The sequence below is a fragment of the Homo sapiens genome, chromosome 12, assembly GCF_000001405.40.
Source record: "Homo sapiens chromosome 12, GRCh38.p14 Primary Assembly".
Lineage (NCBI taxonomy): Eukaryota > Metazoa > Chordata > Mammalia > Primates > Hominidae > Homo > Homo sapiens.
The window spans coordinates 103,853,833-103,869,313 of NC_000012.12; the positions used below are offsets into that span (position 1 = coordinate 103,853,833).

The 15,481-nt window shown below is 43.8% G+C and overlaps 1 pseudogene across 1 annotated transcript in view, besides 1 other annotated feature; it reads right to left on the reverse strand.

Annotated features, from left to right (window-relative positions):
- The window catches only part of TTC41P (tetratricopeptide repeat domain 41, pseudogene), an 86,463-nt pseudogene that overhangs the window by 10,084 nt on the left and 60,898 nt on the right, over positions 1-15,481 (reverse strand). Inside the window, exons 11-14 of the transcript NR_027249.1 lie at positions 12,548-12,719; positions 8,312-8,459; positions 7,286-7,438; positions 3,278-3,411 (exon numbers count right to left, since the gene is read on the reverse strand). The product of NR_027249.1 is annotated as a tetratricopeptide repeat domain 41, pseudogene (transcript). The remainder of the gene's footprint in view (positions 1-3,277; positions 3,412-7,285; positions 7,439-8,311; positions 8,460-12,547; positions 12,720-15,481) is intronic.
- Positions 4,777-5,976: an enhancer, noted in NCBI's record as "BRD4-independent group 4 enhancer chr12:104252387-104253586 (GRCh37/hg19 assembly coordinates)". NCBI's record gives its function as "activates an origin of replication core promoter dependent on BRD2, P300/CBP, MED14 and CDK7 cofactors, and independent of BRD4, by STARR-seq in HCT116 cells {active_cell/tissue: HCT116}" and the evidence as "EXISTENCE:reporter gene assay evidence [ECO:0000049][PMID:35650434]".

The window sequence follows — 15,481 nt, forward strand, 5'->3', positions numbered from 1 at the left end:
ACTGATTCAACTCTCCCACCACTGCCTGTTCTTCTTGTTTATCTCCCACTCCACACACCTCCTCTGTCCCGATGCTTCCTCATAGCCCCTCTTGACAGCTCTCAATTGATCCCCTTCACATCTTATGATGTGGGGCCAGGGACAGACTTGGGCCAGAGGCATTGTGACTTGCTGCAGGTCACACAGCTGATTATGGCCAAGATAAAACCAAAACTCAGTTCAATCCCCTCCAGCCAGGCTATGCTTTAAATCTTTAATGTGCTATATTTTTTATTATAGGTTTATATTGCCACCTAACAACAAAAAAAATAAGTTGCTTGAAGTTGAAGACAGAAGTTATCTTTTTTGTTTTTGTATCCTGCAGAGCAGTTAGTACAATCCTTTGAGCATGGGCAACCTAGTGTCTATTTGTCTCTTTATCTGCTACTGCATCCAGAAGAGACCAAGACAGATTTTTACCAAATTTAGAAGGCATGTTTGGGATGAATTAAAATACAAGCCACATGGCATTCATAAAAGTCACATTGGATAATCTAGGGGACCACTTCAAAGTGATGGGTATCTCCCCTGCAGGGCACCCAAGGATCTGCCCCACAGTGGAGACAAGCTACAAACAAAGGAAGCAAATATTAATAGTAGTTTCGCATATGAGCCACAATCCAAAGTCACAAAGGCAGATGCAAGCAATCATTTCAGTTGCCTTCAGGTGGGTGGCTTCATGCTATGAACATCAAGTGGGTGGTTGGGGGTCAGGGGTATAGATTGTTTTTCTTTTCTTTTTTTTTGAAACAGGATCTCACTCTGTCACTCAGGCTGGCATGCAATGGCAGGATCTTGGCTCACTGCAGCCTTGACCTCCCTAGCTCAAGTTATCCTCCCATCTTAGCCTCCTGAGTATCTAGGACTACAGGTGCGAGCCACCATGCCCAGCTAATGTTTTGTATTTGTTGTAGGGATGGGGATTTGCCATGTTGCTCAGAGGCCGGTCTCAACTCCTGGGCTCAAGCAGTTCTCCCACCTAGGCCTCCCAAAGTGCTGGGATTACAGGCGCGAGCCAGCACACCCAGCTGAATTGTTTTTCTTTATAGCGTAAATTATTCTCCCAAACCACCCCAGATCAACAATCTAGCTGGGTAAGATAATACCACCATATCATTCTGATATGCATTACAAGGTATAAAGTACTTAAAGACTTGCTGAATAAATGCAGCGTAATTATATGTATACCATAGTATGCATAATTATACATGTATATTATATTATACATAGTAAAATATAATCCAACTCCCATGAAAAATACATAGCTGTTGACCTCAAAGTGAACTGCTTTGAGGACTAATGTTTGGTAACACTTTTTACTGCAGCGGGCCTAAGACATGTTTAAAAATGATTAATGGTGAGAAGTCCCAACAATTTGCGGCTCTGGCTTACTTCTTATTTTATGGAGTCCACTCAGGCACATTTCCATTTAGATAGAAAATTTCCATTAAAGGTAGGAAAACTAAAAATACCTGTTACATGTTGAAGGACAGCTGGTTCAGAGGTCTCCATAAACAGACTACTTTCCCTCCCTCCACTCTTGCCTTTGTGTACCGAAGATATTGATTTGCTCTCACCATTCACCAATTGAAACCACAGCACACAAATCTCACATTAGCAGTTGGATTAACCATCTACAACGTTCCTGTGGGCCAGAAGTGGGCCTTATATTAAAGGAATCAACTTCAATCAACAGCAGGAGATAACGGCAAGAAATAGCAGCAAGAGATGACTCCTCACATAAAAATGCTTGGTCTAACCACCGTGAGTATAGACTGCAAAACTGAAATGTAGACTTATTTAAGAAGTCACAAAAAAAAAAAACAACACTGCAATCGCTACTATTACAGATGCCTTCATATCTGAAAGTAAATGAATATATTATCCTCCCATCACAGACCAGACACGAAAACTGTTACATAACAGAATATTATATGAAACGATCAGATTAAATATACTAGTTCTTTGTCCATAAACTTTCTCTAAATTTGTATCTGTATTTTCTGTTTGTAAAACTGCTTCAGCGTAGAAATATTTAGTGAAAAAAAAAATGCACATACACATTCCCAAATTTACACATTGAAAATATTCTTTCCTACAGGTATCAGGCATTTAAAGCTTTTTTCCTCCTCAGCAAGTGACTATCCTGAAAGCAATCATGTTTTCTTGTAAAACAGATGATAAGCACACAAGCTGGGAAAAGCAGCTGGTTTAGGTCAGGGTTTCTCAACCTCAGCACTACTGAGGGTGGATATTTGAGGGTGGATAATTTTTTGTTGTGAGGGGCTTTCCTGGGCATTGTAAAATGTTCAGCCACATCCCAGGCCTCCACCCACTAAATAACAGTAGCACTCCCATCTCCTAACCTCCCTCCCAGCTCCAGTCACGACAATCAGGAATTTCTCCAGACTTTCGTCCTGGGGGGCAAAATCACCCCGGTTGAAAATTACTTGTTTTGGTTGAAGAACAGATAATGCCCTGTGGCAATGAGACGACAGGACCCCTGATAGTGTTTTGTTTTGTTTTGTTTTGTTTTGTTTTGTTTGAGATGGAGTCTCACTCTGTTGCCCAGGATGGAGTGCAGTGGCGCAATCTCACCTCACCACAACCTCCACCTCCTGGTTCAAGCAATTCTCCCGCCTCAGCCTCCTGAGTAGCTGGGACTATAGCCGTGTGCCACCATGCCTGGCTAATTTTTGTATTTTTAGTAGAAACAGGGTTTCACCATGTTGGCCAGGCTGGTCTCAAACTCCTGGCCTCAAGTGACCTTGCCTTGGCCTCCCAAAGTGCTGGGATTATAGGCATGAGCCACTGCGCACAGCCGAGACTTATGTCTTACAGCTAAAATCAAGGGTGGGCCCTTGTGAAAAGCCATCTCGTTATTTCTGGTCACATGTTACTTTAGCATCACAGATGAAAAGGTATGGAAAGCTATTCATATACAGTAGAAACAATGTCTTAGGACAGAAGTGGAAGAAAGGTGGGAACCTACACTGACGGGGGAGGAGTGTGGTCAAGCAAGGAGCTCAGCCTACAAAAGAATGAAAAATGGGATGGAAACGATTTTAAGAGATACCTTTCCTACTAGGAGAACATAAGTAGGTAGCAAAAATAGTTTAAAGTCTGTGAAACAGGAGTTGCTTGGTTCAAAAATGGAGACTTTTTAAAAATAAGCGAAGTATGAGGTGAATCAAAGGGAAAAGTCACCTGCATATAACAAATAGAAGGGCGTGATTACCTAATTTACACAACGTATCGCTGAGGCTGATGCTCAGTTGCTTCCTGAGGAGTGAGGACTTGGCCAGAGTTTCTGCATTTTCCTTTATTTTTATCACTTGTTTATAATATTTAAGTACTTGCTTCCTTTGGGATCTAGAAAAGAGAAATTTAATTAAAGTTTGCATCAAAGAAGGCTGGCATGCATTCGTTCATTCATTCAACAAACATTTACTGAATGCTGGTGCTAGGGCTGGGGAGCAAAGATGAGTATGACTAACCCTTGCCCTCTGAGAATTTCTTTGAGGTAGGAGGGGAGACTGGAGAGCAAAGCAGGAGTCCACCCACAAAGGACCTTGAGTGCAAACCTAAGGATTTTGACTTTAACGTGAAGAGTTTTCATTAAGAACCTGATATGATCAAATGTACATTTTAGAATCTGCCTGGGCAGAAGTGTGGAGGACACACTGAAACAGGTGAGGCCACAGACAGGGAGACCAGTTAGGCCGGAGGAAGAAGATCGATGAAGGTCTGAGCTGACACAGTGGCCACAGGTGCGAAGGGAGATTTACTAGGGCGTGGTGTTGCACTGGATGTGGTGGTGCTGATGCTAGGGGTGCTGGGGGGCTGCTATTTGTGCAGAGAGTGATGTGGTTAAGAGCTCAAGCTCTAAAGTCAGGCAGATGTGGCAGTGGGCCACAGAGGTCAGGCTCAGCGGCTCTTCAATCAGACTTCCCAGGTGCTAACACTAGCCCCGCCACCTAAGAGCTGGGGAACAAGCATCTCAGCCTCCTAAGCCTCAACTTTCTCATGTTCAAAATGGGGATAATAGGCCAGGCGCAGTACTTCATGCCTGTAATCCCAACACTTTGGAAGGCCGAGGCGGGAAGATCACTTGAAGCCAGGAGTTCAAGGCTGCAGTGAGCTAGGATCACACCACCACACTCCCACCTGGATGAGAGAGCAAGACCCTGTCTCAAAAAAAAAAAAAAAAAAAATACAGATAACAGAGTTGTTATGGGGATTAAATGAGAAAATCAGTGTAATGTGTCAGCACAGTGACTGATGATAAACATTGCTAAGATGTATCGTTAAGATGATGCCATGGTGTCTGCACCAAGTGAGGTGGGAGAAGGAGAATTCCGTCAGGGGGTGAGGGTGTATGTGTCCAGTCTTGAGCACATTGACTCTGGGGTGCCAGTGGAATACTCAAGTGAGGATGTCCAGTAAACAGATGAAAGCATATGGCTGCTGCTGCTAACAGAGGCCTGAGAAGATGGAGACAAAGAGCACTCACCTTACGGAACAGCAGCTGAAGACCTGGGTCCTGGTGGGGCTGATGTGCTCCATCTGAGACTAGCATAGAGCCCAGGAACCAAACTCAAGAGGATGCTGATGTTTGGGCAAGAGGCAGGGAGAGAAAAGGAACCCACAAAAGAAGCTGAGCCGGCTTGATCACCCAGGAGAGTACAGTTTCAACTCTGTCAAATGCTTGCGAGGAGAGGGCCAACAAGGTCAAAAGTGCCGAGGACACTTTGGGGTTGTTTCTGATGACTTTCATAAGAGGAGACAAAACGGAGCTGGGTAAGGGAAGAAGTTCCTGGGCTCTATGCTCGTCTCAGATTGAGCGCATTAGCCCCACCGGGGCCCAGGGCTTCAGCTGCCATTCCATAAGGTGACTGTGCCAAGGATGCTGACCGAAGGATAACTACAGATGGATGGGCAAATGGTTGGGGGAAAGTAGATGACAATCATTTCACTAAGAATCTGTCACTGTTCCTCTTAAAACATTTTGTTCACTCTTCTCTGATCTGCTTTCTTAACTTTAATTTTTTAATTTGACCTCATTTGTCCAACCCTACCCAGACCCCTTCTACAAGGCCCTCAGGATCCCATGGATCACTTCTGTGGTGCATGAGTGCTGTCTCGAGGGCCCCTGGCCACCAGGGCAAAGGGTCTACACGTGCTTGAGAGGTGAGTCAAGTTACACAACAAAATGTCTCCTGGTTTGAACCAAAGTGAAAGACACAGTCACCTAAGGATAACCTTCAACAAGGAGATGGCTGGCTACTCCGTTGTTTCGAAGGTTGGCTGTTGACAGTGAGGCCTGGAGGAAGCCATCCATGTATGGTCATCAAGGCTGGCCGGGCAGTACTCGGTGTCTTGTGATTTGGGGTGGGGCAGCCAGGCAGGACAGATGACTCAGTCAGTATGCTACGTGTTTAGATTTTTCTTTTACGAGGCAACGGTTCTACAGTCAAGCTTTTTGCTTCTGTAAAGAAAGTCCTGTTCTCTGCTCACAGTGCTGGTCTTAACATGAGTAAGAGGAGGCGTATGTGGTATCAAGTGCCTCAAAAAACACCTGCTGGGGAGCAAAATAATAAAATATGAATGACTCAATTTATCAAACTCTTTTAGTGTGTGCCAGGTTTTCTGCTAAGCTCTTTACATATAGGATCTCTTAATCCTTACAAAGATCCTGCCAGGAAGACACTGTTACTTCCTTCATTTTACCAAGGAGAAAATGAATGAGATACCAAGATGTTAAGTGCTTGACCTTAACAGTAATTTCTCACTGTTACTAAGTGGCAGAAATGAAAGGTGAACTCAGGCAATCAGACTCCACAGCCCACCATCTCACCACTACTGTATAGCACCCACTGTTGTACCCTTAGGTCCTCCCTTAATTGGGCTACTCTTTAAAAGGTAGTTACCCTTTAAATGCCTTTTAGAAAGGGTTAATACTGATTTGCACTCAAGTGTTAAGAGATGACCAATATCCTAGTCTTCCTGGAAGCAAAAGCAACAAGAGGTCACCTGCCTGGTTGGAGGAAAATGACTTGGAGGAACGTGGGAAATGGAAATGGAAAAGCAAGCCAGGGAACAGGGAATCCTCACCTTATGGAATAGCAGCTGAAGCCCTGGGCCCTGGTGGGGCTGATGTGCTCCGTCTGAGACAAACATAGAGCCCAGGAAACGAACTCAGTGACAGTAGGAAAGAGGGGCTACCAAAACAAAACTTCCCAACTTCATAATGTAGCCTAGAGCATCCCTAACCATCCACACAGCTAAATCGGCTATGGAAGCAAGTGTGTGCATGGCTGTCTGTGGGTTCACAAAGAACCTTCTCTCATAGCAACCTGCCAAGAGAAGTAGCGGTCAGCCCTGGAAGATGCTCACACTCAGTCAGTCTGGAGGGTGGCACCTACAAGTGTATTTTAAACTGAGATGTCTTGTGTGAGGCACTGAGGGGAACCCCGCACATCACAGGAGAATAAGAGGACTCCCTGAGCAAGGAGAGGTGGCTGGTGAACATGACCTGAGGCATTGGAGGCTCTGGCCTAGGTCTTGCAGAATAGAGAGCAGGATGGTGTGGTACCACAGACAACGGCCATGGCTGAGGGCTGCATAGAGACCCAGAAGTAAGAGCATCTTCCTCACAAGGCCTATGAGTGGCACTGGGAACCACTCACAACCACATTGTACTCCTATGTCATTTCTCTACTGCCAGAACCTCCTCACCACTTGTGAGCCAAGAGCTCCTTTTACTATTTTTTTTTTTGAAACGGGAGTCTTGCTCTGTCGCCCAGGCTGGAGTGCAGTGGCACGATCTCAGCTCACTGCAACTCCACCTCCCAGGTACAAGTAATTCTCCTGCCTCAGCCTCCCAAGTAGCTGCGACCACAGGCACACGCCACCATGCCCAGCTAATTTTTGTATTTTTAGTAGAGATGGGATTTCATCATGTTGGCCAGGCTGGTCTCAAACTCCTGACCACAAGTGATCTGCCTGCATCAGCCTCACAAAGTGCTGGGATTAACAGGTGTGAGCCACCATGCCCAGCCCAAGAGCTCCTTTTGAATACATTATGGTGGGGTGAATCCCCAGGCTTCTGAGCAGGGCTGGAGCCAAAGAAGTATTACAAGAGTTACCCCTGATGAGTAACCCCAGACCTCCCTGCCACTGGTAGGGGCACTTTTGGCGGGGAGACAGGAAGACACACTTCTTGAAACATTTCATAAAAACTTACTTTTTACTATCTCTCTGGGGAAAAAATAGCAAATCCGCTAAAAATTCCATAACTTCTCCAACCAGCATGTTTTTCTTGCCAAACAAGCTTTTCCTGATATTTAAGCACTCTCGAAGTTTCATTTTTGCAAGAGAGGTATTTCCAGCAACGAACCTGAAAATAAAAACACATGTGCATTTTTTACTGGGCATGTTGGTTACATTCATTGTGCAATCAAACATAATTCTCATAAACATATTGGATTTTATATAAAAAATCTGTCCTGGAAAATATAAAAAAGAGCAATTTATAATAGCAGCGAGGCGAGAACTTCAAAGTGATTTATAAGAAATTTGCACATCTTTATAAAGAAACTAGAGAGCTGGGTGTGGTGGCTGCTGCCTGTAATCCCAGTTACTCAGGAAGCTGATGCAGGAGGATTGCTTGAGGCCAGGAGTTCAAGATCAGCCTGGGCAACATAGCAAGACCCCATCTCTAAAAAAATAATAAATCAATAAATAAGCCAGGCATGGTAGTGCATACCTGTAGTCCCAGCTACTTGGGAGGCTAAGGCAAGAGGATCGCTTGAGCCCTGTTCAGTGAGCTATGATTGCACCACTGCAAACAAGCCTGGGTGACAGAGCAAGATCCCTGACTCTTAAAAAAAAATTTAAACACTAGAGCACTATTTTCACCCTCAGCACTACTGACATTTAGGCTGGATAAATCTTTGTTGTGGGGGGCTGTCCTGTGCATTGTGTGATGTTTAGCAGCGTCCCTGGCCCCTACGTACTAGACGCCAATAATAATCCCCCAAGACATGACAACAAAAATGTCTGCAGGCATTGCCAAAAGTCCCCTAGGTGGGAAAGGGCCCAAAATTGCCCCTGGCTGAGAACCACTAAGCTAGAGAATAAAAACGTTAACCATCAGCATTTCTTAACTAAATCAGTTAGGAAATGGATGAACAGGTATAGGTTAAATATCTTAATTGAAAGAATAAAAGCTAGTACAGAAAACAAAAAAAAATTTTTAATACATGTTTACATTAGAACACCTTCGATGTATTTCATGGTAGCTTGATCACGGGGATTGTTATCCAGTAAGTTGGAAATTTCAGTTGCATATTCCAAAATGTGGTTTTCTTTTAAGTATTCTTCAGATGCTGACTTTGCCAGATTGTCCAAAACTCTGACTGCAGGGAATAAATTGGCAAAGAATATAATGCTTAAGGGTTTTCTTTTTTCCACAAAAGAATTAAGATGTCAATAGGCATGGCATTTAATATCATTTCATCACTGGCAATAGGCAGGTTTTTCTTAATAAATAAACTACTGACATATACTGCATGGAGGTTGGTTTTCACGTGACATGTTTGTGTATGCACAGCAGTTTAGAGCCAAGGAGCCAAGACAATAGATTGAAACCAAATTCTGAGTTTGTTTGCAAATGAACAGGTCAGAAATAGAGTGAAAATATGGATACAATGAAGCCAAGGTAACTGAGCCCTACAGAAGGCAGCCAGTACAGTCCTGCAATAAGACACAATAAAACTATACAGCCTTATAACAAGAAGCACACGAATGAGTCTCACAAACCCAATTAATAAATAATGGGTTGTACCTAGATATGCACTGCCTTGGGAATGCACTCTCTGCAAAGGCCCCGTAATTTTGTTCCTTTATTGAGAGTTAAATATTTTGACAATAATACAGACTCCTAAAGAGTAGAAAATGGTTTTTAAGCCACACTTTGTTATGGGAAGAGAAAAAAAAAATTGTTTGGGCTGAATTGAGTTCCCTCAAAATTTGTATGTTGAAGTCCTAACCCCTAGTATCTCAGAATGTGATAGTATTTGCAAATAAGGTCCTTAAAGAAGTAAGTTAAAATGAGGTCATTAGGGTGGGCCCTAATCCAATATGATGGGTATCCTTAGAAGAAAAGGAGATAAGGATGGACACACATACATACATATGCCGAGAAAAAACCATATGAGGACACAGGGAGAAGGCAGTCATCTGCAAACCAAAGAGAGAGGTCTCAGGAGAAAAACAAAACAAAACAAAAAAACCCTGCTGACACCTTGACCTTGGACTTCTGGCCTCCAGAACTTTGAGAAATGAGTTGCTATTGTTTATGCCACCCAGGCTGCAGTCCACTGATTGTTATGGCAGCTCTAGCAGACTCATAGAATAATGTTCCAAGAAGGTGTTATTAGAGCATTGCTGGCAGCACAGAAGAGCAGATTTAACTCCTTGTGCTATGGAATTCAGGCTTCATTAAGAAGGATTAGCATTAAGCTATCAAGTAGCATCTCTTGCCATCATCAGTAGTGCCTAATTCATTGCCCAATGCCCACTGTAGGCTTCTCTGTCTTCCTCCACCCAAGGCCTCATGCCTTGCACTTGGACACCAGGGCAGGACAGTCATGTAACTGGTCTCTCTGTGTCCACTCTTACCCAACATGTAATCCATTCTCCATGCAGCAGCAAAAGTGTTCTCAAGACAGAAATCAGAGGTGTCATCCCCACCCTAAGTCCCCGCAATGGCTTCCTTTTGCACTTAGAATAAAATCTAAATGCCTGCCTGAGGCCCGAAGCCCAAGACCCTGCACAATTGGGGTCCAGCTGCCTCCTGCTCTTTGCTCACTGAGGCTTCCTTCCACTTCTAGGACAGGCCCAGCCCTCCCCCATCTCATGCTCTTCCCTCTACCAGGACTGCCCCCTCTCTCACCACTTGTGGCTCCAATAGTCCACTGGGTCTCAGCTTCACTGTCTCCTCCCCAAAGAGGCATCTTGATCTGCCTTTCACAAATATTCCCCCCACCAACACACACACACACCAATGCTCTAGCTCTATTTCTTGTTTGCATTTATGACAGCTTGCAATCATTTCATGGGTTGGCTCACTTCTATTTTCTGTGGCACTTCCTTTAGAGGGTAGAGTTGGTGCTCCTGCCTAGACCACTTTTCTGGACTCAGCATAGCACCTGGTGCATGCAGGCACTCGGTAAACAGCTCTTGAGTGCGTGAATGCTGGTCAGGGTGGAATCCTCGGTCCCACCTCTTCATCTGCTTGCTCAAGCCATAAGCCCACACCTAACCCTTGTCAGGGGACCAGAACTACAGCATGCTCCTATCAAAGCTGCCACAAATGACTTCCTGGCATCCCATTTCACCAGGTCCCCACTCCCCTACCCCTGCTGATTTGGTCTCCTTGGAAAATTAACACATATATATACCAAGCCATGGTGGCCTGACCCCTTGAAACTCTGCATTTTGGACTCTTCAGCTGCCTCTGGAGGGCCAGGCCCAGCTCCCACATAAGTGGCCCTGATTGTCACTGTGCCATATAAGTGGCCCTGTTTGCCACCAAGGTCCCAGCATACCTGTGACCAGGCTTGCCTGCATTAGGACAACAACGTGGAAGCTAGACTCTATATACCAAGGATTAGAGCTTCATAAATGTCTAGAAGAAATTCTGTACAACAAGGAGTTGCCCAGACATGCTCTGATGTCAGACAGCCTAGCTTGGACTCTCAGCTTCAGATTGATAGCTTCAGGAGCTGATGTAGTTTAAGTTATTTAATCTCTCTGACATTCAGCTATACATGCTGTATGAGGTATGTTTGAGGATAAAAGAGATCATCAGCATAAAGCACACAGTAAGCACTCAATGAATGATAACTATCACTACCAAAGTGAACTTGCAGATGAGAAACTTAGAGAGGGTAAGTAGCTTGCCCAAGGCGACGTTTGATCTTCTAGCCATGGGACAGAATTGCCCGAGGCGACCTTTGATCTTCTAGCCATGGGGCAGATTTCAGAAACAGCTGCGATTCTCTACACTAGTCCTTACCCAACTACCTTTTGCCATGCTATGCTACTCTGTACTTCCTCCTATCAAGAGGTGGAAACAGCCTGGTGACTTGCTTTGGCCAAATGAATGCGGTGGTAAGAGGCATTGTACCAGTTCTGAGCCTAAGTCTAGGCTTCTGCTCTCCCTCTTGGAATCCTGTGAGCTGCCAAGTGAGGAGGACCAGGCTGTCCTCCTGGAGGATGAGGAACACATGGTCCAGCCACCACTGTCATCCCAGCCAGACAACCACCAGACAACTAAGTAAGGTTGGACCAGCCAGCCCCATCAGCCCTGCCAGCTGACCTCAGATGCTTGCCCGGGCCAAGCCCAAATCTGTTGAGCCCATCCTGGACCAGTGGAATCCCCCAGCTGACCTACAGGCTCATGGCAAATATAAACATTGTTTTAAGCCACAGAGTTTTGGGATGGTTTTTTATGCAACAAAATCTAATTGATACAGCCATGTAAGTGTGACACACGTCTAGAGACCTCTAGTATGACTGTAAATGAGTGAGTCAAAATTTCTTAATACCTTAATCCACTAAACATTCTTTGTCTCTGCTATATCAGTGGTATCACAGTGGCCTCAGGCATCAAATACTGGAGAATAAAACATTGGCTGCCATTCATCAATTAGTACCTACTTATGTGCCAGGCACCATTCTCTGTGCTTTCCAGCTTTTAGTCTCACAACATAGCATCCATATGTAATGTGGATGCTATTTTTATCCCTACCTTATAAATATAAAAACTGTGACCCAGAAAGTTTAAGTAACGTCTCTAAAGGCACAGAGAGCTAATAAGTGAAGAAAAGGGGTTTAAACCCAGAAAAGCTGGTTTCAGAGTTGAACCATGATGCCGCCACCTTACTGCTTGAAGCTTCCTTCTCTGAAGCTCACCCTAACAGACAATGACATTCTAATAGGGTGGTCCATCAGAATCAGGAACACTTTATGTTCAATCCTCACATACCCACCAGCCCTCCAAAAACACCAAGTAGACTGGGCACCGTGGCTCATGCCTGTAATCCCAGCACTTTGGGAGGCTGAGGCAGGCAGATCACCTGAGGACAGGAGTTCGAAACCAGCCTGGCCAACATGGCGAAACCCCATCTATACTAAAAATACAAAAATTAGCCGGGCATAGTGGTGAGCGCCGGTAATCCCAGCAACTTGGGAGGCTGAGGCAGGAGAATCTCTTGAACCCAGAAGGTGGAGGTTGCAGTGAGCCAAGATCGCACCACTGTGCTCCAGCCTGGGTGACAGAGCGAGACTCTGTCTCAAAAACTAGACAAAACAAGACAAAAACACCAAGTAAACAAAACACACACATCCATTTCCTTTTTCTCACAGGTGGGAATAGTCCAGGAGGAGATTGACTCTGTGACACATGAGAGGCTGTTCCCTCTGCATGTGCCCACCGTACCTTTCTGCTTCACCAAGTCCCGGCTGTCTTCTAAGTCACTGAGTGAAAGACGCAGCATGCTTGACCATGCTTTCTGGAAATACTGGAACCCTTCCTGAGTCATTCCAGTTTCAAGATACAGTTCTCCAATAGCATTCTGTACTTTGAGAAGCATGTCTGTCATGGACTGGCTCTGTACAAAATGAAAAGGGAACCACCCCTGAGAAAACACAGCATTAGGATACATACAGATACCAGATACCTACCCAACAAAGGCTTATTCATAATGACATTGAAAAAGACTGTATGCTTTACATCATTTCTTAGGAAATTCTAAATATATATATAAGATAATGGTTATGGTGAAAGATGTATTGGGAGGCATTGCAAACCCAGTTAATGTTTGTATTTTTAGTAGAGACAGGGTTTCACTGTGGTTGGCCAGGCTGGTATCGAACTCCTGACCTCAAGTGATCCGCCCGCCTCGGCCTCCCAAAGTGCTGGGATTACAGGCATGAGCCACCGTGCCCAGTGGAAATAAAAAATTTTAAAGAATAACGTGACAATGTCTTGCATGTGTTAAAGATTTCAGAGGAGGTGGTATCCAGAATTCAAATGAATAGCTGTGAACGCTGCTTGAATTCAAATGTGACCAGAGAGCAGCTAACTTTATGTTTGACACATTTGTGCACAGAGACTTGAATTTAAATTCCCCTTACTGGTCTAGCATATTTATTTCAGGATGTAGGGGCCAAGGAAAAACTTATCCTTTACCCTCTGAAGTTTCGCCGAAAAAATCAACTGACAAAAGGCAGATTAATAGGAGAAATGGCATACACATTTGTTAGCACGCACAGTGGGGAATTATAGAATACAGACATTTTTATACCCTGCCTCTCAGGAGAAGGGAGATGGGGAAGTAAAGATAATTTTAGGGGGGGTAGTAAATTATTTTTAGGTGAATTCAATGACCCAACGCACCACCATGCTCAGCTAATTTTTGTACTTTTAGTAGAGATGGGGTTTCACCATGTTGGCCAGGCTGGTCTTGAACTCCTGACCTCAAGTGATCCATCTACCTCAGCCTCCCTAAGTGCTGGGATTACAGGCATGAGCCACCACACCCAGCCCCAGAGATCAATTTTTAATAAACATATCACCTAAATCAGGGTTTCTCAACCTGGGCTCCACTGGCATTTTGGGCAGGATAACCCTGCACTGTGAGGAACTATGCTCTATGGGATGTTCAGCAGCACCTCTGGCCTACCCACTGGATGCCAGTAGCAACTCTCCCCCAAGCTATGACAACCAAAAATGTCTCCAGCCCTGCCAAATGTTCCCTGGGGACCAAAATTGTCCCCTAGTTGAAAACCACTGGATTAAATTTTAAAATGACCTTATCTGAAGAAATTATAAAAGCAGTACAGTACAGAATGCATATATCACAAATAACAAGATCTTTCCCCTCAAGAATGTTAGTTTGCTATAACAAGCGACGACCACACAAAAAGAATGTCAGGTACATAACAATGCATTTCTCAGAACAGATTTCTGTTGTTAAGTGATGTACGACTATATTTACATAGCATTAATATTCTTTACTAGCTCTTAAGACAGTTTGTAATTATATATTGATTTGAATAATCATTGGACTAATGTCTTATTAATAGTTATTTCTCCCAAATGACTGCAAGCTGCCTGAGGGGAGAAATCATGTTTGATTCTTGCTATTGTATCCCTGGAGCTGGGTTATGTATGATGAAGCCTCTATAAATATTTTGATCTCCATTTACGCAGCATTAGAGAGGTTCAGTTACCACTTCAAAAGCGAAGTAATGTTAAAAATGAAATATGCCAAACTTGATTTGTATTAAAAATAACCTGTTAGAAACCAAAAAAAAAAAAAAAAAGAATGTCAGGCACATATTTCAAATAAGTTGTTATTGCCCAAAATAGTCATAAAACCTCTTTTGGAAGTGCCTTCAGAGCCTAAAAACATTCTTTTAATAGTCTTCATGGTGGCTAGTCCCAAAGAACTGCTGCAAAAATATTTTGAAGATAGAATCATAAGATTGATGCCTCCAGAAGGAGCACTCTGAAGTGGGAAGTTCTCTTAAAAGCTTAAATCAAACTCCCTTATATTTCTCACCTAGGCCTCATTTGCTTCATTACTCAAAGACAGTAACAACAAAATAGCTACCATACTTAAGATCTTACTGTGTGCCAGACATTATGTGAAGTGCTTTATGCACCTTCTTACTTGACCATGTTAACAGTCCCTTGAGATAGATATTAGAATCCTCAAAAATGAGAACTCACCAAAGCGCAGGTTAAAATTCCTACCAAGATCACACAAGCAGAAAGTGGCAAAACTGGGATTGAAATCTGGGTCAGTATGAAAACAGCCCATGCTCTGTTCACAATTGCATGCCACCTTCTAAGGGCATGGAGGAACCTGCCAGTTCAAATTGATTTATAGATTCACTTCTGACAGTTATTAAGCACCCACAGGCTATAATATGCCATGGAGGAACAAAAATTGATAAACAAACATGGTCTCTGCCATAAAAGGACTTTCATTGCTGAGTCTTTTAAGTCTCTTTACTAGAACTCCTTCTAGAAAGACATATGTTGATGGCGACGAGGGCAGTGTTTTACGAAAGTTTAAATGTCTTTGTTTTAAAATAAAAACAGCTTTGTCTTGAGTTAGACTACCCTAAATCCACAAATTCTACTAAAATCAGTGAAAGTTAATACTTAAAAAAAAAAAATAGCAGTTAGGCCAGGAGTGGTGACTCACACCTATAATCCTAGCACTTTGGAAGGCCAAGATGGGAGGATCGCTTGAGTTCAGAAGTTTGAGACCAGCCTAAGCAACGTAGCAAAATCCTGTCTCTCCAAAAAATTGAAAAACTAGCCAGGCGTGGTAGGGCACCCCTGTGGTCCCAGATACTT